The 24,424-nt window shown below is 42.0% G+C and overlaps 1 protein-coding gene across 3 annotated transcripts in view, besides 2 other annotated features; it reads right to left on the reverse strand.

Annotated features, from left to right (window-relative positions):
• ALDH7A1 (aldehyde dehydrogenase 7 family member A1) overlaps positions 1 to 24,424 on the reverse strand; it is a 53,379-nt gene that overhangs the window by 11,740 nt on the left and 17,215 nt on the right. For 2 of the 3 annotated variants that reach the window (NM_001182.5, NM_001201377.2), the window contains exons 6-13: positions 23,499 to 23,631; positions 21,840 to 21,884; positions 17,202 to 17,279; positions 14,679 to 14,776; positions 7,503 to 7,544; positions 5,660 to 5,754; positions 2,351 to 2,435; positions 707 to 813 (exon numbers count right to left, since the gene is read on the reverse strand). In NM_001182.5, coding sequence (NP_001173.2) covers positions 707 to 813; positions 2,351 to 2,435; positions 5,660 to 5,754; positions 7,503 to 7,544; positions 14,679 to 14,776; positions 17,202 to 17,279; positions 21,840 to 21,884; positions 23,499 to 23,631 — 683 coding nt within the window. The remainder of the gene's footprint in view (positions 1 to 706; positions 814 to 2,350; positions 2,436 to 5,659; positions 5,755 to 7,502; positions 7,545 to 14,678; positions 14,777 to 17,201; positions 17,280 to 21,839; positions 21,885 to 23,498; positions 23,632 to 24,424) is intronic. The other variant, NM_001202404.2, reaches the window with a different exon arrangement.
• Positions 14,143 to 14,343: a silencer, noted in NCBI's record as "peak5455 fragment used in MPRA reporter construct". NCBI's record gives its function as "represses an SCP1 promoter by STARR-seq MPRAs in K562 erythroleukemia cells {active_cell/tissue: K562}" and the evidence as "EXISTENCE:reporter gene assay evidence [ECO:0000049][PMID:32103011]".
• Positions 14,480 to 15,225: an enhancer, noted in NCBI's record as "OCT4-NANOG-H3K27ac hESC enhancer chr5:125903752-125904497 (GRCh37/hg19 assembly coordinates)". NCBI's record gives its function as "activates a minimal SCP1, AML or CMV promoter by ChIP-STARR-seq in primed H9 embryonic stem cells {active_cell/tissue: H9 hESC(primed)}" and the evidence as "EXISTENCE:reporter gene assay evidence [ECO:0000049][PMID:30033119]".

Raw genomic sequence — 24,424 nt, forward strand, 5'->3', positions numbered from 1 at the left:
GGGTGCCTGTAATCCCAGCTACTCGGGAGGCTGAGACAGGAGAATCGCTTGAACCTGGGAGGCGAGGTTGCAGTGAGCTGAGATCACGCCACTGCACTCCAGCCTGGGCAACAGAGCAAGACGCAGGAGCCTGAGGTGGGAGGATTGCTTTAGTCCAGGAGGAAGAGGGTGCAGTGAGCTGAGATCGTGCACCACTGCACTCCAGCCTAGGTGGCAGAGCAAGACCCTGTCACAAAAACAAACAGAGCCAAGTGTGGTGGTTCATGCCTGTAATCCCAACACCTTAGGAGGCCAGGGTGGGTGGATCACTTGAGGCCAGGAGTTAGAGACCAGCCTGGCTAACATGGGAAACCCCATCTCTACCAAAAAATATAAAAATTAGCTGGGTGTGGTGACATGCACCTGTAATCCCAGCTACTCGGGAGGCTGAAGCAGGAGAATCACTTGAACCTGGGAGGCGGAGGTTGCCGTGAGCCAAGATTGCGCCACTGCACTCCATCCTGGGCACAGAGTAAGACTCTGTCTCAAAAACAGACAAACAAACAAAAACATGTGTTTCCTTGTTTTATAATAATATATATAAATAAAGACAGGAGAAGAAGGATGTCAAATGGGGTGGCTTTTCCAATATGCCCAGAGCCCTGCTTGTGTCTCAGGGAAAAGAAGGTTAAAAAGCTGTCACAATTGATCTCAGAGCATCCCTTACCTTGCCCCCATAGACCACTGTGCCACCTTCTTTCTTTGCTTCTTCCACTGCTCCAAGAAACATGCTCACTGCCTGCTTGGTGTGGAGTGGCCCATAGAGAACATTAGCTGGAGAGAGAAAAGGAAGGCTGGCTCATCATTTTGCCCTTTATGGCATCGTTTTATTATTAGAACAGCTTTCTCAATGAACAGACCAATCCCTTCCTATATGCTCTCAATTGAGAACATAAGTCAGCATCCTTTTTCCATAAAGAACCAGATGGTAAATATTTTATGCTTTGGAGGACATACGTGATCTCCATCCCAATACTCAACTCCGTAATTGTAGTGCAAAAGCAGCCATAAATGACATGCAAATGAGTGGGTATGTGCCGAGAAACTTTTTTTTACAGAAACAGGCAGAGCCAAGTCTGTTTGCCAATCTCTAGTTTAAAGGAATGGCTATCAATTACTCAAAGCACTGCACTCAAAATATAGGGTCAGTTTACTCATTACAGTGTGACCATTCTCTAAGGAAACATCACAGTCTCAGTAGTTGGTGTATAATTCAAGGGGGAAGAGAATGATGCTGTCCTATGTTACGGCTGCTGGGGACTAGAGCACTGACAGTGACCCAGCAACAAAGAAGAAGGAAGATGTAGGTAGGCCTCTATGAGGAGGAGGCATGTTAGCAGAGCCATCCCCACTCTGGGTGAAGAATGTTTCCAGCAGACAGCACAGTAGGATAGAGCCTGGCATGCCTGGAACACTGAAAGGATGTTGGAGAAGGTGGAGCTCTGGGAGCAAGAGGGAAAATAGACACAGAAAGGCTGGTGAGAAGGCAAGCGGGGCAGGAGGCAGAGAGCAGACCAGGAAGGATCGGGAGCCTGCAAAAAAGAAGAAATCAAGAGGACTCTCGGTTTTAATCTAAAAGCAGGCCTGGCGCAATGGCTCACACCTGTAATCTTAGCACTTTGGGAGGCCCAGGCAGGCAGACTGCTTGAGGTCAGGTGTTCGAGACCAGCCTGGCCAACGTGGCAAAACCCTGTCTCTACTAAAAATATGAAAATCAGTCAAGCGTGGTGGAATGCACCTGTAATCCCAGCTATTCGAGAGGCTGAGGCAGGAGAACTGCTTGAACCCAGGAGGCGGAGGCTGCAGTGAGCTGAGATCAAGCCACTGCACTCCAGCCTGAGCAACAGAGTGAAACTGTGTCTCAAAAAAAAAAAAAAAAAAAAAGAAAGGAAAAAAAATCTAAAAGCAATGAGAAGTTACTGAGGGGTATTTTAAGCAGGAGAGTGAATTATCTGATTGCATTTTAAAAATCATTCTGTAGCAATGGATGCAGAAAGGTCAGTTAGGGGATTCTTGCAGCCTTGCACAAGAGGGATGGTGTCGGCTTGGACAAGGGTAATAGTAATGAGAGAGAAGCACACTAAATCTCATTCCATCTAAACAACCTCTCCCAGTCTCACCCACTAGCACACATCAAGCAGCCAGGGTCGAAACCTAGGAGCAGACACGATACACCAAAGCCTAATAACCTGCTTCATGTGCCTTCACGCCTCTCAGGAAAGGGAAAGAAACTCCAAAACTCAGATCAGAAACACTTGTTAACAACAGCTCTCAAAAAGGGATCGCTTTGAAAGCAGAAGGAGATACTCACGGTCCCATGGGTTCCCAACTCGGATCTGTGCATAGGCCTTTTTAAGTCTGTTTACAACCTCATCATGGATGCTTTCATGTATAAACTAAACGAAAAAAGATATTCAAGGGCATAGTATGATAAATGCACACATTTTTAAACAATGAATAATTTCCTTGATAGTTACTGAAATACTGTAATCTCTAAAAATATAAGAAAATCAAAGCATGTTTATTTTTTTAATTATATAATTTATCATTTTAATATTAACTATATGAAGTCAAAATTTTCCTTTTAGGTAGATAATAGAATAAAATCATAAGCCATGTCTTTTTTTTTTTTTTTTTTTTTGAGACAGAGTCTCACTCTGTCACCCAGGCTGGAGTGCAGTGGCATGATCTCAGCTCACTGCAACCTCCACTTCCCGGGTTCAAGCGATTCTTATACCTCAGCCTCCCGAGCAGCTGGAATTACAGGCACCCACCACCACACCTGGCTAATTTTTTGTATTTTTAGTAGAGACAGGCTTTTGCCATGTTGCCTAGGCTGGTCTTGAACTCCTGACCTCAGGTGATCCACCCACCTCAGTCTCCCAAAGTGCTGGGATTACAGGTGTGAGCCACCACACCCGGTCCATAAGCCACATCTTCATCAAGTTTCCAAGGATGTATTTGTCTAAGCTTCACAAATACATTAAAGAAGGCCTCAAGTACATGTGTCCCATACTGTAACCCTAAGTCCCAGTGAACACAGAGCATAGTCATAACTGACCTCTGCTGGGTAACTACAAACACTTAACCCCAGGCCACACAGGTCTCCAGAGGAGGCCTTAATTAGGTGAGGACAACCCTTGCATTCTCTGGGTAGTTGTCAGGTCCATGCTATGCTCCAAGTGGCAGAGCTGAACTTGCCAAACCATCTATGCTCTGGGTTAGTCTCCACATGTGATGAATGAATTGACATTATGAGAACTAGTCATGAAGCAGTCCATAGTAATGGAATTTTTAAAAATATTACTGCTAACTCTAAGGAAATCTATTTGGACAATGACTAATATTACCTATTAATATTTAAAACTAATATAAAAGACGTCTATGAATATTTGCTCCAAAACACATGAAAAAAATAAAAATTGGCTGAATAGAGAAATATTTGGCTTTTATGTCATTTCATATTTTACCATGTAATGAAGGGTATAATCATTTGGAGTGCATGGTTTTTTCTTAGCTTTAACGTAATCTTTAACGCAATTTAATGTTTATGGTGAACAAATTTAATAAACTTTAAAGTTACAAATGTAGTATCAGATTATTTGAGAATGTCAGCTGTGTAAAAATAAAGATTTATTTTCATTTATGCAAAACACCTGAAAAAACAAATATGAAAAGTGTGAGAGGCCGGGTGCGGTGGCTCACACCTGTAATTTCAGCACTTTGGGAGGCCAAGGCAGGCAGATCACCTGAGGTCAGGAGTTTGAGACCAGCCTGGCCAACATGGCAAAATCCCATCTCTAATAAAAATACAAAAATTAGCCAGGCACGGTGATGGGTGCCTGTAGTGCCAGCTACTCAGGAGGCTGAGGTGGGAGAATCACTTGAACCTGGAGGTGGAGGTTACGGTGAGCTGAGATCACACCATTGCACTCCAGCCTGGCCAACAGAGAGAGACTCCATCTCAAAAAAAAAAAAGAAAGAAAGAAAAAAGAAAAGTGTAAGGTAAAGATAATTTTCATATATCTTTTAGCTTATTCTAATTAATTTAGATTATGTCAGTCTTATAAAGAATTTGTTCACACTCAATATGAATGAGAGCAAAAACCCAAAGCCAATTCCTTAATAATTCAACTGAAGGCTTTTTTCATTACAAAAGGAAAACTCAACAATAATAAAAAAGGCTCAAGTCCAACAGAGCTTAAAAATAATTTTTTTTAAATGGCAAATGCAGCCAAATTTTGTACCTAACTAAAACTTCCTCAGGGCTGGGCATGATGGCTTCCACCTGTAATCCCAGCACTTTGCAAGGCCGAGGTAGGTGGATCAGCTGAGGTCAGGAGTTCAAGACCAGCCTGGCCAACATGGTGAAATGTCATCTCTACTAAAAATACAAAAATTAGCCAGGCAGGGTGGCACGTGCCTGTAGTCCCAGCTACTCAGGAGGGTGAGGCAGGAGAATCGCTTGAATCCAGGAGGTGGAGGTTGCAGTGAGCAAGATCGCGCCACTACACTCCAACCTGGGCAACAGAGCGAGACTCCAACTCAAAAAAAAAAAAAAAAAAAAAAAAACACAAAAACAAAACAAAAAAAACTTGCTCAGTTATAGTATAGTCTTTTAGTACCATAAAGTCATGAAAATCAAAGTTGTAACACATACTAAACTCAAGACCAGCTCAATCTAAGTGTAGAGATTCAACTTCCCAAATCCCATATTGAAGCTAAACCACATCTCCTTATATACACTTAATATTAATCTGTCCTCTCGATATATATATGTATGCAGGCTATATATGTATATAGAGAGGTCACACATATACATAGCCATTTGCTTTTCAATGAATCATGTCATTTCAAGTCAAATCTAATTCTAGACTTGAGGCTAAAAATAAAAGTGTTTATTGATTGATTGGTTGAGACAGGGTCTTGCCCTGTCGCCCAGGCTAGAGTACAGTGGTGCAATCATGGCTCATTGCAGCCTCATTGAGCCCTTTCCTGGGCTCAATCAATCCTCCTGCCTCAGCCTCCCAAGTAGCTGGGACTACAAGCATGAGCCATCATGCCTTGCTAATTTTTTTTAACTTTTTATAAAGACAGGGAATCACTTTGTTGCCCAGGCTGGTCTCGAACTACTGGGCTCAAGGAATACTCCTGCCTCAGCCTCCCAAAGTGTTAGAATTCTATGCTTGAGCCACCATGCCCAGTCTAAAATGTTTAAAATGTTTTACTACTTAAAATGTTTTTATAAAAGTGCAAGACTCTATTTTTAGCTATAGTTTAATAATTCTTTTTATTTTTATCTTGTTTTGTTCTCTAAATGACACTGGACTTCGTCCATATTGTTCTAGGAGTAGGACTGAATATCAGTCTCATCTCCTAGTCCAACTCCAGTCAATTGGTAGTGGAACCCCTATTATCTTGGGGTGGGAAAAAGGCAAAGTCCCTGAATGATTAACAACATCTGCCATGAGCACAGAAAGAGAACTGGACCACATATTTGCCAGCCACATCTAGAGAGCATGTTGTTCTAGCAGTATTGCTGACACCTCTCTAACAGCAGAACTCATTAAAAAGTAGTGTTTTAAGAGCAAGACAATCGGGCCTATGCAGATATACTCACCAGTCGCCTCGCAGTGGTACACCTCTGGCCAGCTGTTCCCACAGCAGCGAAGAGAGCTGATGGAACAACTAAGCTGAGGTCTGCATCTTCAAAGGCTTAGGAAAGCACAAACACTTCCATCAGCGAACCAAAACAGGTAGACAAGGTATTTGTTAGCTGGTATAAAACAATGTTGTTTTTTGTTTTTGGTTTTGGTTTTTTTTTTTTTTTTTTGAGACAGAGTTTTGTTCTTGTCACCCAGGATGGAGTGCAATGGCACGATCTCGGCTCACTGCAACCTTTGCCTCCCGGGTTCAAGAGATTCTGCCTCAGCCTCCCGAGCAGTTGGGATTACAAGCATGTGCCACCACGCTTGGCTAATTTTTGTCTTTTTAGTAGCAATGGGGTGTCACCATGTTGGTCAGGCCACTTTCAAACTCCTGACCTCAAGTGATGCACCCACCTTGGCCTCCCAAAGTGCTGGGATTACAGGCGTGAGCCACTGTGCCCGGCAAACGTTTTTATAAAGTGCAGTAAAAGAACATCAAAACTATTGTTGTAAAGTAACCATATGCACGTTACGAAGACATATATAGACGAGGGGGAAAGGCACACTCTTCTTCCAAGGAAGATTATGAGCTCTATGATCTTTACCCAGATATACAAGGGTAAATTGAGGCTCTCACTCCTCTGGCCTCTTCATCTTTTATTTCTCGGGGGGTTTTTTGTTTGTTCTTTTTTTCTGAGACGGAGTCTCACTCTGTCACCCAGGCTGGAGTGTAGTGGCACTACAGCCTTGACCTCCTGGGCTCAAGCAATCCTCCCACCTCAGCCTCCCAGTGGGGACTGTTGTAGGGATTAAATGAAATAATGCATATAAAACAGCTGAACACAGTACCCGGCAGACACTAGTGCTCACTAAATGCGAACTATATTTTTTACTGAAGTCTCTCTTTAAAAGTCCATCCAGAGGCCAGGCGTGATGGCTCATGCCTGTAATCCCAGCACTTTGGGAGGCCAAGGCAGGCGGATCACCTGAAGTCAGGAGTTCAAGACCAGCCTGCCAACATGGTGAAACCCCATCTGTACTAAAAATACAAAAAGTAGCTGGGCATGGTGGCATGCGCCTGTAATTCCAGCTACTCGGGAGGCTGAGGCAGGAGAACAGCTTGAACCTGGGAGGTGGAGGTTGCAGTGAGCTGAGATCGCACCACTGCACTCCAGCCTGGGTGACAGAGTAAGACTCCCGTCTCAAAAAAAAAAGTTCATCCAGAACAAACACTTCACCATATACTTCTTATATCTTACACATACTTCTTATGTGTGTCAACTACAAATATCTAAGCATTTTTGTGACAAACTCAAACAGTTAAAAAAGAGCATAAGTAATCTCTAAGCCTATAGGTAAGTGATTTTTTTAATGCCTTAAGGACATGTTCCTTCCCAATATAAAAACACTCAATATTCCACTAAAGACAAAATAATGTTTTTGAAATCTAAAGAAATGATCAAGTCACATAAGAGTTACTTAAGTTATTCTAGAGAAATGTGGCCAGTTTTCAGCAAACAGAAGAAGAAAAAACAAGAAATAATGCCATACTACAATGGCAATGGAAGTCTCATTCACAGGTTCTAGATCATCCCAGGTAACATGTTCTAAACATGAATACCTTTCCTTCCTAGTTACCTCTGCCTTCAAAACAAGCTTGTGTCCTGTCTCCCAAGTAAAATTCCTAAACACAGGAACTAGGTCTCAGGCATATGCAACATGGACGAAATGAGATCCCAAACAAGTTCCATATATTCAGGATGGCGACTGTGGAAACTGAACAGAAAACAAACAAAAACAAAGAGGCAGCCTTACCAATAATGGCATTGTTTCCTCCAAGTTCCAACAGACTTCTCCCTTAAAAGAAAAAAATTATATATAAAAATTAATGCCTACTTCCATATTTACTGCACACTGCTACACAGCCTAATCCCAATTATTAAATTATATAGCCTGTCCAATTATTTTTTATATAGCCTATCCCAATCATATAGCCTATCCTGATTACACCCTATCCCAATTATTTTTCAACTTATTTTCTAATTTATAAAGTAGCATTACTATTGTATCAATATCAAATGTCCTGATTTTAGTAACTACTGTGGTTATACAAGAAAATGTCCACATTCTTAGGAAACACACCAAAATATTTAGTAATAAAGGGGACACATCTTTGACTTACTCCAAACAGTTCAACAATAATATGCACCCACAGAGTGTGTGTGTGTGTGTGTGTGTGTGTGTGTACGTGTGCGTGCACGCGCGCACAGATGTTGCTGGAGAGAGAGAAAATGAGAAATCAAATGGGGCAAAATGTAAGCAATTAGTGACTCTGATTAAAGGGTTTACAGGAATTCCTTATGTTGGTCATATAATTTTGGTTTGAAATTAACAGGAAAGTCTACAGCCAAACCAAACCACCCTGAGCGTGCCCAGTCTTATCTGACATTACTCAAGAAAAATAAAGTAAAATGGGATAGCCACTGTAGAAAACAGTATGGCAATTGCCCCAAAAAATTAAATAACAGAGCCTGGGCAACATGGCAAGACCCTGTCTCTACAAAAATTAAAACAAACTAGCTGGGCATGATAGTGTCTGCCTGTGGTCCCAGCTACTCGTGAAGCCCAGGAATTTGAGACAACAGTGAGCCATGATCACACCACTGCACTCCAGCCTGGCCAACAGAATGAGACTGTCTCAAGTAAGTAAATAAATAAATAAGAGAATTACCACATGACCGAGCAATTCCACTTCTGAGTATATAACCAAACATAGTAAGGCAGGGACTCTATAGATATTTGTACACCAATATTCATAGTAGCATAATTCACAATAGCCAAAAGGTGGCAGCAACCCAAATGTGCATCATCTGATGAATTAGTAAATGTGGTATAACAATACAGTGAAATATCATGCAGCCTTTTTTTATTTTTATTAATTTTTTTTTTTTTTGAGACAGGGTCTGACTCTGTTGCCCAGGCTGGGGTGTACTAGCATGATCATGGCTTACTGCAGCCTCAACCTCCTGGGCTCAAGCAATTCCCCCATCTCAGCCTCCCAAGTAGCTGGGACAACAGGCATGCACCACCATGCCCAGCTCATTTTTGTACTTTTTTTTTTTTGGCAAAGACAGGGTCTTGGCATGTTGCCCAGGCCGGTCTCGGACTCCTGAGCTCAAGAGATCCTCCCGCCTTGGCCTCCCAAAGTGCTAGGATTACAGGCATGAGCCACCACACCTGGCTTATTATAGAGCCTTAAAAAGAAAATCCTACTACATGCTACACGATAGTTGTACGTTGGGCCGGGCGTGGTGGCTCATGCCTGTAATCCCAGCACTTTAGGAGGCCGAGGTGGGCAGATCAAAAGGTCAAGAGATCAAGACCATCCTGGCCAACATGGTGAAACCCTGTCTCTACTAAAAACACAAAAATTAGCTGGGCGTGGTGGCGGATGCCTGTAATCCCAGCTACTCAGGAGGCTGAGGCAGGAGAATTGCTTGAACCCAAGAGGCAGAGGTTACAGTGAACTGAGATTGCACCACTGCACTCCAGTCTGGCAACAGAGCGAGACTCCATGGTTGTACCTTGTAGACATTATGTTAAGTGAAATAAGGTAGTCACTAAAGGACAAATACTTATAACCCCACTCAAATGAAAGTAGTCCAAATCAATGAAACAGAAAGAAGTAGAAGGGTGGCTACCAAGGCTGGGTGTAGTGGGAAGGAGGGATTAGTGTTTATAGGGTATGGAGTTTCAGTTTTACAAGACGAAAAAGTTCTAAAGATAGGCTGTATGATCATGTGAATGTACTTGACACTACTCAACTGTGTACCATCTTAACCATTTTTAAGTAAATTTTATGTTGTGTGGACTTTCCCCCACAATTAAAAAGAAAGAAAGAAACCTATGGCCCATAAGGCCACCACAAAAATCTCTACTTACAATTTGATAGTGTCTTCCAATCTTTCCTCTGTGCATTTATATCTAGTTGAGATTATATTATTTCATTTTACTTTATTTTCTGATGTCTTACACCTTTCCCCTAAGTTATTAAAAGTCAAGAAAAGAAAAACCACTCCATAGCATTCCATCATGATGACATACCAAATTTTATTTAGCTGTTTCTCCAGTGTTGAATATATTTGTTGATTATTTACTTAGGTTAGGACTCTTGACAGACATTGCCAACCTATATTCTAGAAAAGTTATATAGCAGGCCATGAATGCCATTCTTTTTTTTCAGTCAGAGTCTTGCTCTGTTGCCCAGGCTGGAGTGCAGTGGCGTGATCTCGGCTCACTGCAAATCTCCGCCTCCTGGGTTCAAGTGATTCTCCTGTCTCAGCTTCCCAAGTAGCTGGGACTACAGGCATGCACCATCACGCCCAGCTCTTTTTTGTATTTTTAGTAGAGACGGGGTTTTGCCATATTGGCCAGGCTGGTCTTGAACTCCTGACCTCGGGTGATCCGCCCGCCTCAGCCTCCCAAAGTGCTGGGATTACAGGCTTGAGCCATCGCAACCGGCCCACCATTTTTTTTTCTTTCTTTCTTTTTTCAAGAGTCACCCAGGCTGGAATATAGTGGTGCTATCATAGCTCACTGCAGCCTCAATTTCTGGGTTCAAGCCAACCTCCATCCTCAGCCTCCCAAGTAGCTCATACAACAAGCACGTGTCACAACACCTGGCTTGTTTTGTTTTGTTTTAAGAGACAGGTTTTCACAATGTTGCCCAGGCTCTGGTCTCATTCCTAGCTTCCAGCGATCCACCCACCTTGACCTCCCAAAGTCCTGGGATTACAGATATGAGCCACTACACCTGGCCTATAAATGCCATTCTTACCTTACTCCTCCCAGCATAAAGATCTGAGAGATGTGTTTGCCTCAATTTTAGACATATGTTTATTTATTTTTGAGACAGAGTCTCACTCTGTTGCCAGGCTGGAATGCAGCAGTGCAATCTCAGCTCACTGCAACCTCTGCCTCTGGGTTCAAGCAATTCTCTTGCCTCAGCCTCCCAAGTAGCTGGGCATGCCGCCACACCTAGCTAATTTTTTTGTATTTTAGTAGGGATGGGAGTTTCACCATGTAGCCCAGGCTGGTCTTGAACTCTTGAGCTCAGGCAATTCACCCACCTCAGCCTCCCAAAGTGCTAGGATTACAGACGTGAGCCACTGTGCCCAGCCTTAGACATACATTTATTACTGATCTTTTGATCATCGATTTCCTTAAGTGCACTTTAAAATCAGCTTCCATGTGAATAACTTTTATTCATTTGTGATATCAGGAGCATATGTGACAACAGCAGAGTATCTTCTCATTTCCATTGCTCTGAAACAGGTAAGCATCAAGTGAATATTAATTATGAAGACATGGCTGTTACTACCAAAAGCCACCAAATGCTACACCAACTCTAGTCTCTGCTGCAATCATTGAATTAATGACAGCTTGCTGGCTATAGCATAGCGCTATGCTAGGTGTTAAGAAGAGAAGGAAGGAAACGGAAGCTTTTACGCCTGACATTAGCTTCTCCTGCCTGGCTGCAAGTGATGTTTGGCAGAAGAGGAGGGATCTATACTTTCTACATCCTTCCAGTTCTCTATCAGGCGCTCTCTGACTATACTCCTAACCACCAACTCCTCCAAGAAAAGCACCTATAATTAAGACAGGCAGATACATTTTAAAAATTATAATTCTACTACTACTACTATTACTACTTAGCCAAGAACAACAAACTACCGCCTTGAGTAAGGAAAAGGGGAGAAAGGTGAGAAGATGAAATCTGCTCGTGGGACTAATGATGTTGAGAATCTTTTCATGTGCTAATCGGCCATTTAAGATGTCTATTCTAGGCCTGGTGCGGTGGCTTATGCCTGTAATCCCAGCACTTCGGGAGGCCAAGGCGGGCGGATCACAAGGTCTGGAGTTTGAGACCAGCCTGGCCAAGATGGTGAAACCCTGTCTCTACTAAAAATACAAAAATTAGTCGGACATGGTGGCGCATGCCTGTAATCCCAGCTACTTGGGAGGCTGAGGCAGAAGAATCACTTGAACCTGGGAGGCAGAGGTTGCAGTGAGCCAGGATCTCCCCACTGCACTCCAGCCTGGGCAACAGAGCGTGAGATTCCATCTCAAAAAAAAAAAAAAAAAAAAAAAAAAAAGACGGCTATTCAAATCCAATGCCCATTTTTAATTGGGTTGTCTTTTATATTCTTACATTTTAAGAGTTCTTTATATATTCTACATACAAGTTCCTTATCAAATGACTTACAAACATTTTCTGCCATTCGGTAGGTTGTTCTTTTCACTTTTTCCTGATGTCCTTTGAAGCACAAAATGCTTTAATTTTGATAAAAACTAATTTGTCTTTTAATTGTTGTTGCTTGTGCTTTAGTTGTCATTTCTAAGAAACCATCGCCTAATCCAAGGTCATGAAAACTTATTCCTATGTTTTCTTCTAAGAGTTTTATAGGTCTTTGATACATTTGGAGTTTGTCTTTGCATAGGAGATGTAGTAGGGGCCTGACTTCACACTCATGTGTATAGATAGCTACTTGTGTCAGTACCATTTGTTAAAAAGACCATCCTTTCCCCATTGAAATGTCTTGTCACCCTTGACACAACTGACCATAAATACAAGGGTTTATCTCTGGACTTCCAATTCTATTCCATTGATTTTTATGTCTATCCTTATGCTGGTGCCACATAGTCTTGATTATCATAGTTTTGCCGTAAATTTTTTGACTGAGAAGTGAGAGTCCTTCAATTATCTTCTTTTTCAAGATTGTTTTGGCCTTTTAGGGTCCTTTGCATTGTCATGTGAATTTTAGAATTAACTTGTCAGTTGTCACAAAACAGAAAACTGGGATTTTTACAGGAATTGCATTGAATCTGTAATCATGTGGACCATATTGAAACCTTAACAATATTAAATCTTCCAAAAAATGAAAAGGGGATATCTACTCATTTATTTAGGTCATCTTTAATTTATTTTGATGATGATTTGTAGTGCTCCGTGCAACAGACTTACACTTCTTTTGTTAAATGTATTCCTAAGTATTTTATTCTTTTTGACGCTACTACAAATTGAATTGTTTTCTGGATTTCATTTTTGGATTGTTCATTGTTAATGCATAGAAATATAATTGATTTTTGTATCTCAATCTTGAGTCCTGCAACCTTGCTGACCTTTTTCATTAGCTGTTTTTTAATAAATTCCTTTTTAAAAGCAATGCCTACATAGTTAAACAGTTGACAGATTAGTCAAATGTTATCTTATGCTGGGGTTAAAGTCTAAAATTCATCCTGACAGCCAAAAATTGATAGCCAATATTATCCTCAAAAACCTTGGAAATCATCCATAAAGCACAGTACAGTATACAAAGCTATGTCTATACAACCCTTTTCAATCATGTATCCAGGATCCATATCCATGATCCATATGCATATGGATACATATGGATCCATATCCATGATCCATATACATGAGAGAAGAGCAGATTTAAGCCTTCTATTCCACACTCACTGTAAGTTCTGTACTCAGTGCTCCTGTTTAAATGATGACATTTTTCTCACCACTATACTAATGAGAAATGATGACATTTTTCTTCTTTAATTTGCCAAATAGGACTAGTACAATTTGATAAGTGTAAAAAGTAAAGTAGAGCTTCCTCTTCAAAGACTTTCCTCCCCATCTAATTAAAAATAAATAATAACTTCTCTTAAAAGCAAAATTTATTCAAAGACTTGTGCTCCTAAATATTTGCCCTGGCATGCTTATACTGGTCCAAGCACACATTAGGTCATAGCCTGTTCCTCTTCCTTATTTAAGTGTTTTTACCTTTCTCAGCATTCCACAAGTTACTTTCTCCTTCCTTTGTTCTCCTCTACTTTTGCCTCTTTTAAAAAGTTCTAAGTTGCTAGCCAATTGGGAGAAATACAAAATGTGAGGTCCCATTCCAGCCAATGGAAACTGGACACAGCAGTAGGGTGGACGCATCAGGTTATAAATGACCCTGTCTCCTTTGTTCAGTGTACTGTCTTGGCAAAACTGCTGGCGACTGTACCCTTTCTACAGGAAGTAAAAATGGCCTTACTAAATAAATTTATGTTCAAGTACTATTTCTTTACAGCACCCAAAAACAAACATTTCAAACATAAATATTCTATGTGATTCAATTATACCCATTTAGAGAGAAAATGACTTCCTTTCATAACTTTTTTTTTTTTTTAGACGGAGTCTCACTCTGTCACCCAGGCTGGAGTGCAGTGACGCGATCTCGGCTCACTGCAAGCTCCACCTCCCGGGTTCACGCCATTCTCCTGCCTCAGCCTCCCCAGTAGCTGGGATTACAGGCACATGCCACCACGCCCGGCTACTTTTTGTATTTTTAGCAGAGACGGGGTTTCACCATCTTGCCCAGGCTGGTCTTGAGCTCCTGACCTCGTGATCCACCCACCTCGGCCTCCCAAAGTGCTGGGATTACAGGCGTAAGCCACTGTGCCTGGCTTGAATTTTTTTTTTTCTTTTTTTTTTTTTTGTGACGGAGTCTCGCTCTGCCGCCCAGGCTGGAGTGCAATGGCGCCATCTCGGCTCACTGCAAGCTCCACCTCCCGGGTTCAGACCATTCTCTTGCCTCAGCCTCCCGAGTAGCTGGGACTACAGGAGCCCGCCACCACGCCCCGCTAATTTTTTGTATTTTTAGTAGAGATGGGGTTTCACCGTGTTAGCCAGGATGGTCTGGATCTCCTGACCTTGTGATCCACCTGCCTTGGCCTCCCAAAGTGCTGGGATTTTCATAAATTTTGGTATTTAAATTTAGGACTTCCCTAATATTCTACTGCTAATAACTGTACCCTTTTCTTTTACTTAGACATTCAAATAAACATGACCACTGCCTCCATGGAAAAGGTTGAGGGGAAAACAAAAACTCAACTTTTAGATTTCACCTCCATATTTGAGAGAATTAAAATCCTCATTAGAAAGCCAACACTTACCAAACCTCTCCTGCACCATCAGGCCCACCTGTTTTCCCACCTGAGTGCTCCCAGTGAAGGACAGCAGGTTCACTCGTTCATCTTTGGCCATTGCTGTGCTGCAAGGGAACAGACACGGTCGGCCACCCAAGCAGAGAAACCCAGCAATTACAACATCTAATGGTACCCAGCACTGAAGTGCCCTTGAAAAAGCAGTCCCTTGAAGCTACAAGAAAGTCTGTCCCAGGGGAGCAAGGGAAGGTCTTCATGAGAAGGAAAAAAGTTTTTCACAGGTAGAACCATTAGGCAGAAGAGGCTAACCTGCTGTGAGCATTTGAATAGAAATCACCTAGAGGAAGTTGTTAGGGAAGAAAGTCTTTCCTATACTGAGTGAGTGACTGGACAATATGATCTTAGCATTTCCTTGCTGAGCATTCCAGTTTTACAAACTTTTAACTGCTGTGTAATTCCTTTAAGGATTAAAACTTGGGCAGGACCAGCCTAGGCAACACGATGAAACCCCATCTCTATAAAAAATACTAAAATTAGCCAGGTGTGGAGGCATGCGCTACTTGGGAGGCTGAGGTAGGAGGATCACTTGAAACTGGGAGGCGGAGGTTGCAGTGAGCTGAGGTCAAGCCACTGCACTCCAGCCTAGGTGACAGAGTGAGACCCTGTCTCAAAAAGATAAAAATAAAATAAATAAAAAATAAAAGAATTCAAACTTAAAAGCCTGTAGGGAAATATCCTAAAGCAGGGGTCCCCAAGCCCCAGGATGCTGACCAGTACCAGTCTGTGGCCTATTAGGAGCCAGGCTGCACAGCAGGAGGTAGGCAGCAGGCAACCTGGCGAGCATTACTGCCTGAGTGCCACCTCCTGTCAGATCAGCAGCAGCATTAGATCTTCAGAGGAGTGTGAACTCTATTGTGAGCTGTGCATGCAAGGGATCTAGATTGCATGCTCCTTATGAGAATCTAACTAATGCCTTATGATCTGAGTGGAACAATTTCAGCCTAAAACCATCCCCCTGCCGTGGTCCATGGAAAAATTGTCTTCCACTAAACCAGTCCCAGTCCCTGGTGCCAGAAAGGTTGGGGACCGCTATCCTAAAGTATTCCTCATGGAAGCCTACTTATAAAGGCTATGCTAGGATTTCCAGTTGCTTCTAAGGAATGCAAATCAGACACTACTGATTTGAACCTCTTTCTTCCTAATTCAGTGCTACAAAGGGTCCAGTGTGAACCAAGCAGGGCAGCCACAGCATCAGTCTAACGTAGGGCTGGACGGCTTGGCTCAATTGCCTAGGTCAGTCTTCCAAGGTTCAACTCAGCAAGCATGAGCACTAATACTCAAAGTGGCTGCTGCTTAACATGCTCCTGTATATACTACCATAATTATCTGAGCTATTGCAAGGCCAGCACAAGGACTAAATACCTAGAATGCAAGAATACAGTCAAAGGCCAACTCATGTTTTAAATGACACTTAGATAATATTTCACTCTGCATTATACATGTGGGAGTTGTATTTCTAAAATTTTCTCATTAATATGAAAAACAGAGTAATGAAAAACAGAGTAACTTATTGCTCCTTTTTGAGATTGCCCAGTAAGTACAATAGTATTTAAAAGTGTTGGAAGGCAAGGAAACTAACACTTTAGCCACACCAGTATGGGTTGTAAGACTTGACTCCTGAAAAACTCACCTAATCAAAGTCTAAGCTGGTAAGAACCTCAGCTTTCATCCCAGTTCAGCACAAGTATAGTCCATGTCATCTTAATATCATGCCAAGTAAAAGCAGCAAGACACAAAAGGCCACATGTTATATGATTACATTTATACAAAATGTCTCAAATAGGCAAATCCATAGAGACAGAAAATTCTTTAGTGGCTGTCAGGGCATGAGGGCAGGGGGAATGGGAAGAGACTGCCAGTGGGTATGGGATTAATTTCTTGGCTGATCAAAATGTTCTGGAATAAGATAGTGGTGATAGATATACAATACTCTGAATATTTTAAAAACCACTATATTGTACACTTTAAAAGAGAGCATTTCATGATTTTATGGTACACGAATTGTGAATTATATGGCAATTAAAAAAGAAAAAAACAATTTTACTAAAAAGAGGCTGTGTTCCCAGGGTTCCCTTTTTCAGTCAGCTGAGAAACTCAGACAATAGGCTAGGTTCTTGGCAGGCAGTGAGACCCCAGACTACAATTTCATAGCTTTCTTTGTAAGTAAACACCTTGATAAACCAAGTGTCAGGAAGTCACAGGCTGCCCCCCATTACAGCAGTTTGTTATTTCAGGATATAAACACCTTAACAAATAGTACCTCTGGGCAATTAAAAAGACAATTCTTATTCATCCTCCAATAGGAGTTAGGCATTAATAAAATAAGAACCCAACAAAGTCCATAATAATAATGATTTCAAAAACCATTCTCAACTCCTTAGTTATAAGTGAGTTCATTATTCTAGTAACGATGATTCTAGTTGGTCAACCTGGGGTCCTTCAACAGAGGATGCTCTCAGCCTAGTAACCTACCCAATATCTGCTCCACCACAAGTCAAGGAACAAATTGCACCAGGCAGCTTGTTGTCCTCCAGAACCTTGGCTATTATCCTAGAAAGGAAAAAGCAATTACTGAGGCAATAATTTAAGGCATTTTTTTAAAAACAAGGAATAAATTCCAACCACTTGACTCTCCTTTTTTCAACTTTCTCTCCCATCCCTCAAATATACTACTCTCTTGCTTTTTCAGCCCACTTTTCAATTTCTAAGTCATTGTTCCTAAATGGACTTCTAACATTAAGAACCCTCTTATACCAGACTCTGTCCTTCTGTCCTCAAACATTCAGACCTGGATTTCTCCTCACATATTGAAAATGCCGTTTTCAAAAAACTATTAGCAGATTTTTTTTTTTTTTTTTTTTTTTTTTAGCCCTAAAAGAATCTTGAGGCCAGGTGTGGTGGCTCATGCCTGCAATCCCAGCACTTTGGGAGGCCGAAGCAGGTGGATCACTTGAGGTGAGGAGTTCAACACCAGCCTGGCCAACATGGTGAAACCCCATCTCTACTAAAAATATAAAAATTAGCCGAGAGTGACGGTGGGAGCCTGTAATCCCACCTACTCAGGAGGCTGAGGCAGGAGAATCGCTTGAACCTGGAAGACAGAGGTTGCAGTGAGCTGAGATCATGCCACTCACTCCAGCCTGGAAGACAGGGAGACTGTATCTCAAAAAAAAAAAAAAGAATCTTGAGAAGAAGAAAAAAACATAGAACATAAATAGAAGACACGAAGCATTGTTTAGGTAGCTCAAACTGTCATTGTTTTCAAGTATTTTCTCCCAAACTATGAGGACACATCTGGTTCAAGACAGCAGACTGATCACTGGGCCTTTTATTTATTTATTTATTTTTTTTTTGGTCTTACACAAATCTATTAAAATGATGATTAAAAAGGAATAAGACCTAGAACGATGAAGGAAATTAGAGGTAGTCACCACCAGCAAATAAGAGATTTAAACACATCTCTGCAAAGCAGAGTTAGAGAAGTTGTAAAGCACAAATTGGGGAAGGGGAAGGGATCCCCAAAACCTAAAGTAAATGCCACAGACACAAAAGAAGGAGCTGGGGCCACCCTGCAGAACCCTGAAAGAGCTTGAGGCTAGTTCCCACCAAACCATGTCGGTCAGAAAATATCAGTGCCCTGCAGGCTAAAGAATTGCAGACAAGCAGAGTTTTTTCTCTTGTTAGAATGAGAAATACATTTAAGTACTACTTAAATCTGATTTTGAGTCATAAAAAAATGGCTAAAATAATTCTGGTTTCTCTGAAAAAGGATTCCATTCATTTTGAGTTTCCAGAGGACCAAAGAGCAAAGGTTATTTTCATCAATCATCTCAACTTACTGGCTACTTTCCAATTTGTTTAAATTTCAAAAACTCTCAAATCCCATGCTCACTTTCATAGAAAAGGTATCATTATCACACCTAAGTTCCCCTAAAATACCCTTTATAGCTGTTTTCTTTCTTCCTTCCAATCCAGGATCCAATCAAGGATCATGAACTCCAGCTCTCATGTCCAAGACCAGGTTTCAGGATGTACAATTCTTCCCAGGGACTCCGGGTGTCTATATTGTCTGCACAAGTAGACTGTACTCTCTTTAAGGGCAAGGCTTTTGTTTTGTGCCTATGGGTAAAGGTTAACAAACCCCTGCCCCTAAGGCATGAGAATCTAACTTTAAGTTGAACTCTAGCACTGTTCTCCATGTCACCTGATAAGTGTCAGAGTGTCATCAATGTTTCTTAGACAACCCGGCTTATGGTAAAAATGATCCCTGCCTGGTCACTTCCATCTGAACTGAGTATCTATGAGCTATTAATGGGAATGCCATGCTTTTTGGCCTTTCCTGAGTGCAGTGACACTTGTAACTGCATGTCCCTGTGGCCCCTGAAAGCTACAATTGTTACAAGAGATTTTGGTTTCTGTGGGGCATTAGGCTTTAAGCCAAGGTAACCCCACACCTCTCCAATGGGGCTCTCACTTTCTTGTACCTGTATGATTGTGACAAGAACACTGATTAAAGAGGAATACCTGATGCCATCCTCCTGACAAGCTATGCTGCTGTCCTATATCCTTCTGAATACACAGAAGAACCATATGTGGCCTGGGGTCATCTTAGGAATCTGAAAATTTAGTTGAATTTACGAAGACCTCTTTGTAGCACTGCATCACCCTTAGTTAATTCCAGCAAAATTTAGCATCATTTTACTTATCTTCTATTACAAAAGCAAATAACATTTTCAGTGCTTTGAAGACCATCAACCAGCATATAAACTCTTACATGAACATTTCAAATTCTTCAACCATTTAAAGCAAAAAAAAAAAAAAAAAAAAAGCTTAAAGCAAAACCAGTATCAAAATGAACAATATTTTAACCAGCTACTTCGTAACAATTAAGTCAGTTCACTACTTCCACATTAATTATTCTGCTGGGTTTTGTTTTGTTTTGTTTGTTTGTTTTTTAGGTTTATTTTTAGGCCAGGGGCAGTGGCTCATGCCTGTAATCCTAGCACTTTGGGAGGCCGAGGCAGGCAGATGACTTGAGGCCAGGAATTCAAGACCAGCCTGGACAACATGGTGAAACCCCATGTCTACTAAAAATATAAAAATTAGCTAGCTGGGCACGGTGGCTCACACCTGTAATCCCAGCACTTTGGGAGGCTGAGGCGGGCAGATCACGAGGTCAGGAGATCGAGACCATCCTGGCCAACATGGTGAAACCCCATCTCTACTAAAATACAAAAAATTAGCCGGGCGTGGTGGCGCACACCTGTAGTCCCAGCCACTCGGGAGGCTGAAGCAGGAGAATCGCTTGAACCCGGGAGGCAGAGGTTTCAGTGAGCCGAGATCGCACCACTGCACTCTAGCCTGGTGACAGAGCAAGACTCAGTCTCAAAAAAAAAAAAAAGAAAAAATTAGCCAAGCATGGTGGCATGCACCTGTAATCCCAGCTACTTGGGAGGTTGAGGCAGGACAATCGCTTGAACCTGGGAGGCAGAGGTTGGAGTGAGCCGAGATTGTGCCACTGCCCTCCAGCCTGGGCGACAGAGCAAGACTCTGTCTTTAAAAAAAAAAAAATTAGCCCGGCGTGGTGGCCCACACCTATAATCCCAGCTACTCGGGAGGCTGAGACATGAGAATCTCTTGAACCCAGGAAGCAGAAACTACAGTAAGCTGAGATGGCCCCACTGCAATCCAGCCTGGGCAACAAAGACTGTCTCAAAAAAAAAAAAAAAAAAAAAAAGAAAACATATTACCCTTGCTCTTTTCCAGCCCACCACTTTCCAATTCCTAAACCACTATTCTAAATAATCTTCTAGGCTGGGCACAGTGGCTCATGCCCATCCCAGCACTTTGGGAGGCCAAGGCAGGCGGATCACAAGGTCAAGACATCGAGACCATCCTGGCCAACATGGTGAAACCCCATCTCTACTAAAAATACAAAAAATTAGCCAGGCGTGGTGGCACAAGCCTGTAATCCCAGTTACTCGGGAGGCTGAGGCAGGAGAATCACTTGAACCAGGGAGTCGGAGGTTGCCGTGAGCCAAGATTGCACCACTGCACTCCAGCCTGGCGACAGAGCAAGACTCCATCTCAAAAATAATAATAATAGCCGGGCGTGGTGGCTCATGCCTGTAATCCCAGCACTTTGGGAAGCTGAGGCAGGTGGATCATGAGGTCAGGAGATCAAGACCATCCTGGCTAACACGGTGAAACCCCATCTCTACTAAAAACACAAAAAATTAGCTGGGTGTGGTGGTGTGCACCTGTACTCCCAGCTACTCGGGAGGCTGAGGCAGGAGAATGGCGTGAACCCGGGAGGTGGAGCTTGCAGTGAGCCGAGATCGCACCACTGGACTCCAGCCTGAGTGACAGAGCAAGACTCCATCTCAAAAAATAATAATAATAATAATAATAATATTCTAATATGAAGAACCCTCTTGCCCACAGTCTCCACCCCAATTTCTCTACTAATAATTCTGAAATCAGAATGCAGATGCAACCAATGGAACATCAAAGGTACATCCTAATCCTACATGGGAAGGCACCCTAACTCTATACATCCTCCAAATTCCAGAATGACAAATCAGTCACATTGCTTTTATGACTTAACCAGAGCTGCCAAATTCTCAAATATAAGTAAAGCATTAATAATTTTTTAACCAAAAGATGCGATACATTTTAGTGTTAGATGAATCAGCAGATTAGTGTAATAATCAGTTTTGTTAACACTCTATTAAGCAAAAGCAACAAAAGTATTAGCTAGATAGAAATCTATTCTCAAAACCACTAACTTGTTGAATAGTGAGAAAATATAGATCCTAAATTGCAAAATTTTCCTTTCCACTGAAGATGCTTTTATTTTCCAAGTGACAAAATAATGTCTGCAAGAGTTCAATCAATATGTCAATATCTGGCATGTTTCCAAAGAGTTAAATTAAATGACATGGCACTGAAAGCACTCTGTATATAAAAATAATATTACAAGCAAAGGAGAAAGAGGTTATCCAAATTCCATGCTATGTGACTCTGACATCAGATTAAAAAGTCAGGGCCTATCAATAACCCTTTCAATATTATTCCATACCCAGGAAAAAGAAAGCCACATGTACTTACTTTGTGACAGCCACACTAATGAGGGAAGTGGTTGGAGCTCCTTTCCTTAAGAAGGTTAAAACAAAAAAAGAAAAAGAAAAACTTATTTGACGGAAACCATAAATACCTTTTATTATCAAACAGAAGCAAAAGTGTGAGAAAAAGCTCTGTCCAATTAGACAACTAACAAGTGAGTCTAGTAACTGAAACAGAAATCTGTCCTTCAGCTGGGTGTCTTTGAGACCTAAGGAACAACAAAACTTTCATGAACATAAAAATGGCACCAAGCAATTCTGAATCAGCTTGCTGCACTGATCGCAGGAATCACTACATTAACCTCAGCCAGTTATAGGAACTGAGTGAAGCAGAAATCTACCAACGTGCTGCATTAAGTAAACTTCCTTGGAAAACTCAGAGAGCTGAGGAAAACTACACAATGAACCTTTTTAGATTAGAATGTTGGAAAACATGAGTTCCTTTCACAACATGGGGCAGAACCCTGAAAGAGCTCGGGGCTAGTTCCCACCAAACCATGTCGGTCAGAAAATATCAATGCCCTGCAGGCTAAAGAATTGTGGACAGGCAGGGCGCGGTGGCTCACGCCTGTAATCCCAGCACTCTGGGGGGCCGAGACGGGCGGATCACGAGGTCATGAGATTGAGACCATCCTGGCTAACACAGTGAAACCCCTTCTCTACTAAAAATACAAAAAAAATTAGCCGGGCGTGGTGGCAGACGCCTGTAGTCCCAGCTACTCGGGAGGCTGAGGCAGGAGAATGGCGTGAACCTGGGAGGCGGAGCTTGCAGAGAGCCGAGACCGCGCCCCTGCACTCCAGCCTGGGCGACAGAGCAAGACTCTGTCACAAAAAAAAAAAAAAAAAAAGAATTGTGGACAAGCAGAGTTTTTTCTCTTGTTAAAGTAAGAAATACAGTTATTAGTCCTCCCAAATATGTCCTATTTTACAGTTAGTTTTTGAATACATTCAACTGAGTACCACACATTTAAAACAAATTAATAACTAGTGGAACAGATGCAAGCAAAATGAGCTAAAGACAATTGTCCTGATTTTCCTTATTTAATTTCTTCCACTGAACACAAAAGTAAAAAACAAGTAACTGTTTGCCATCTAAAATATAACATTTTTACTATCAGATATTTTGCAGAGTTGAAAAATTTAAGACCTAAATGGAAACACTGACCAACTGCCTCAGAATTACTTGGGAGTTCACTACCAAAGTTTTATTGGCCAGGTGCAATGGCTAATACCTGTAATGCCAACATTTTGGGAGGCCAAGGCAGGTGGATCACCTGAGGTCAGGAGTTCAAAACCAGCCTGGCCAACATCGTGAAACCCCATCTCTACTAAAAATACAAAAAATGAGCCGGGCATGGTTGCGCATGCCTGTAATCCCAGCCACTTGGGAGGCTGAGGCAGGAGAATTGCTTGAACCTGGGAGGCGGAGGTTGCAGTGAGCTGAGTTCGCACCATTACACTCCAGCCAGGGCAACAAGAGTGAAACTCCATCTCAAAAAAATAAAATAAAATAAAGTTTTATTGAAGAAGCCAGGTGTGGTGATGCACACTTATAATCCCAGTTACTGAAGAGGCTGAGGTAGTAGTATCTAGAAATGGCTATTTTTATCACTCACTACTAAATAGGAAAGTGAGCAGGTCTTACCAGAGGCAGACATTTCCACAGATCATGGCGATGGCGTTGTTCCAACCATACACTGCCACAGGGAAATTGAATGCCGTGATGATTCCAACCAGGCCTACGGGATTCCACTGCTCAATCAGTGCATGGCCAGATCCTGAGGACAGAAAAAGGATGGAACATGCAGAAGCATGTTAATTTAATGCCCATCAAGTTAATAAGAACAAACGTACAGCAGACTGGAGAAGATTCCAGATGCCTTATAGTGGGAAATTGCTACACAGCCATGGGATATCAGTACATTAACTAATGTACAACAAAAGTGGTTATTACCACACTACCTTGTAAATCATAATGATATTCATTATGCCTCTGATCTTCATAGGAACTCTGCATAGATCAGAGCAGTATCAGTGCACCTGGGAGACAAGGACACTTTCTAGAGTTGATGGGTGCCCTAGGTGGTATGATCACAAAGGGCAGAACATGACCAGGGCACAGGGGCTTAGGCCCATGTTGTTTTGTTTGGTTTTGAGTCAGTCTCACTCTGTCACCCAGGCTGGAGTGGAGTGGCGCAATCTCAGCTCACTGCAACTGCACCTCCCGAGTTCAAGCAATCCTCGAGCCCCACCCTCCTGAGTAGCTGGGATTACAGGCACGCACCACCATGCCCAGCTAATTTTTTATTTTTAGTAGAGAAGGAGTTTCACCACGTTGCCCAGGCTGGTCTCAAACTCCTGACCTCAAGTGATCCATCCACCTTGGCCTCCCAAAGTGCTGGGATTACAGGAGTGAGCCACCACGCCTGGCCTCACATATTCTTTATGTTACCTGACGAATCCCTGGGCCAACTTCTCTGAATTCAAGACAAGGTGGCTCATTTATTGGTGGAAGATGGGAAGGGGGAGTTCTAATAATTATATATATGTTGAATAAATGAATTATGCAGG

This window comes from Homo sapiens, chromosome 5 (genome assembly GCF_000001405.40).
Source record: "Homo sapiens chromosome 5, GRCh38.p14 Primary Assembly".
Lineage (NCBI taxonomy): Eukaryota > Metazoa > Chordata > Mammalia > Primates > Hominidae > Homo > Homo sapiens.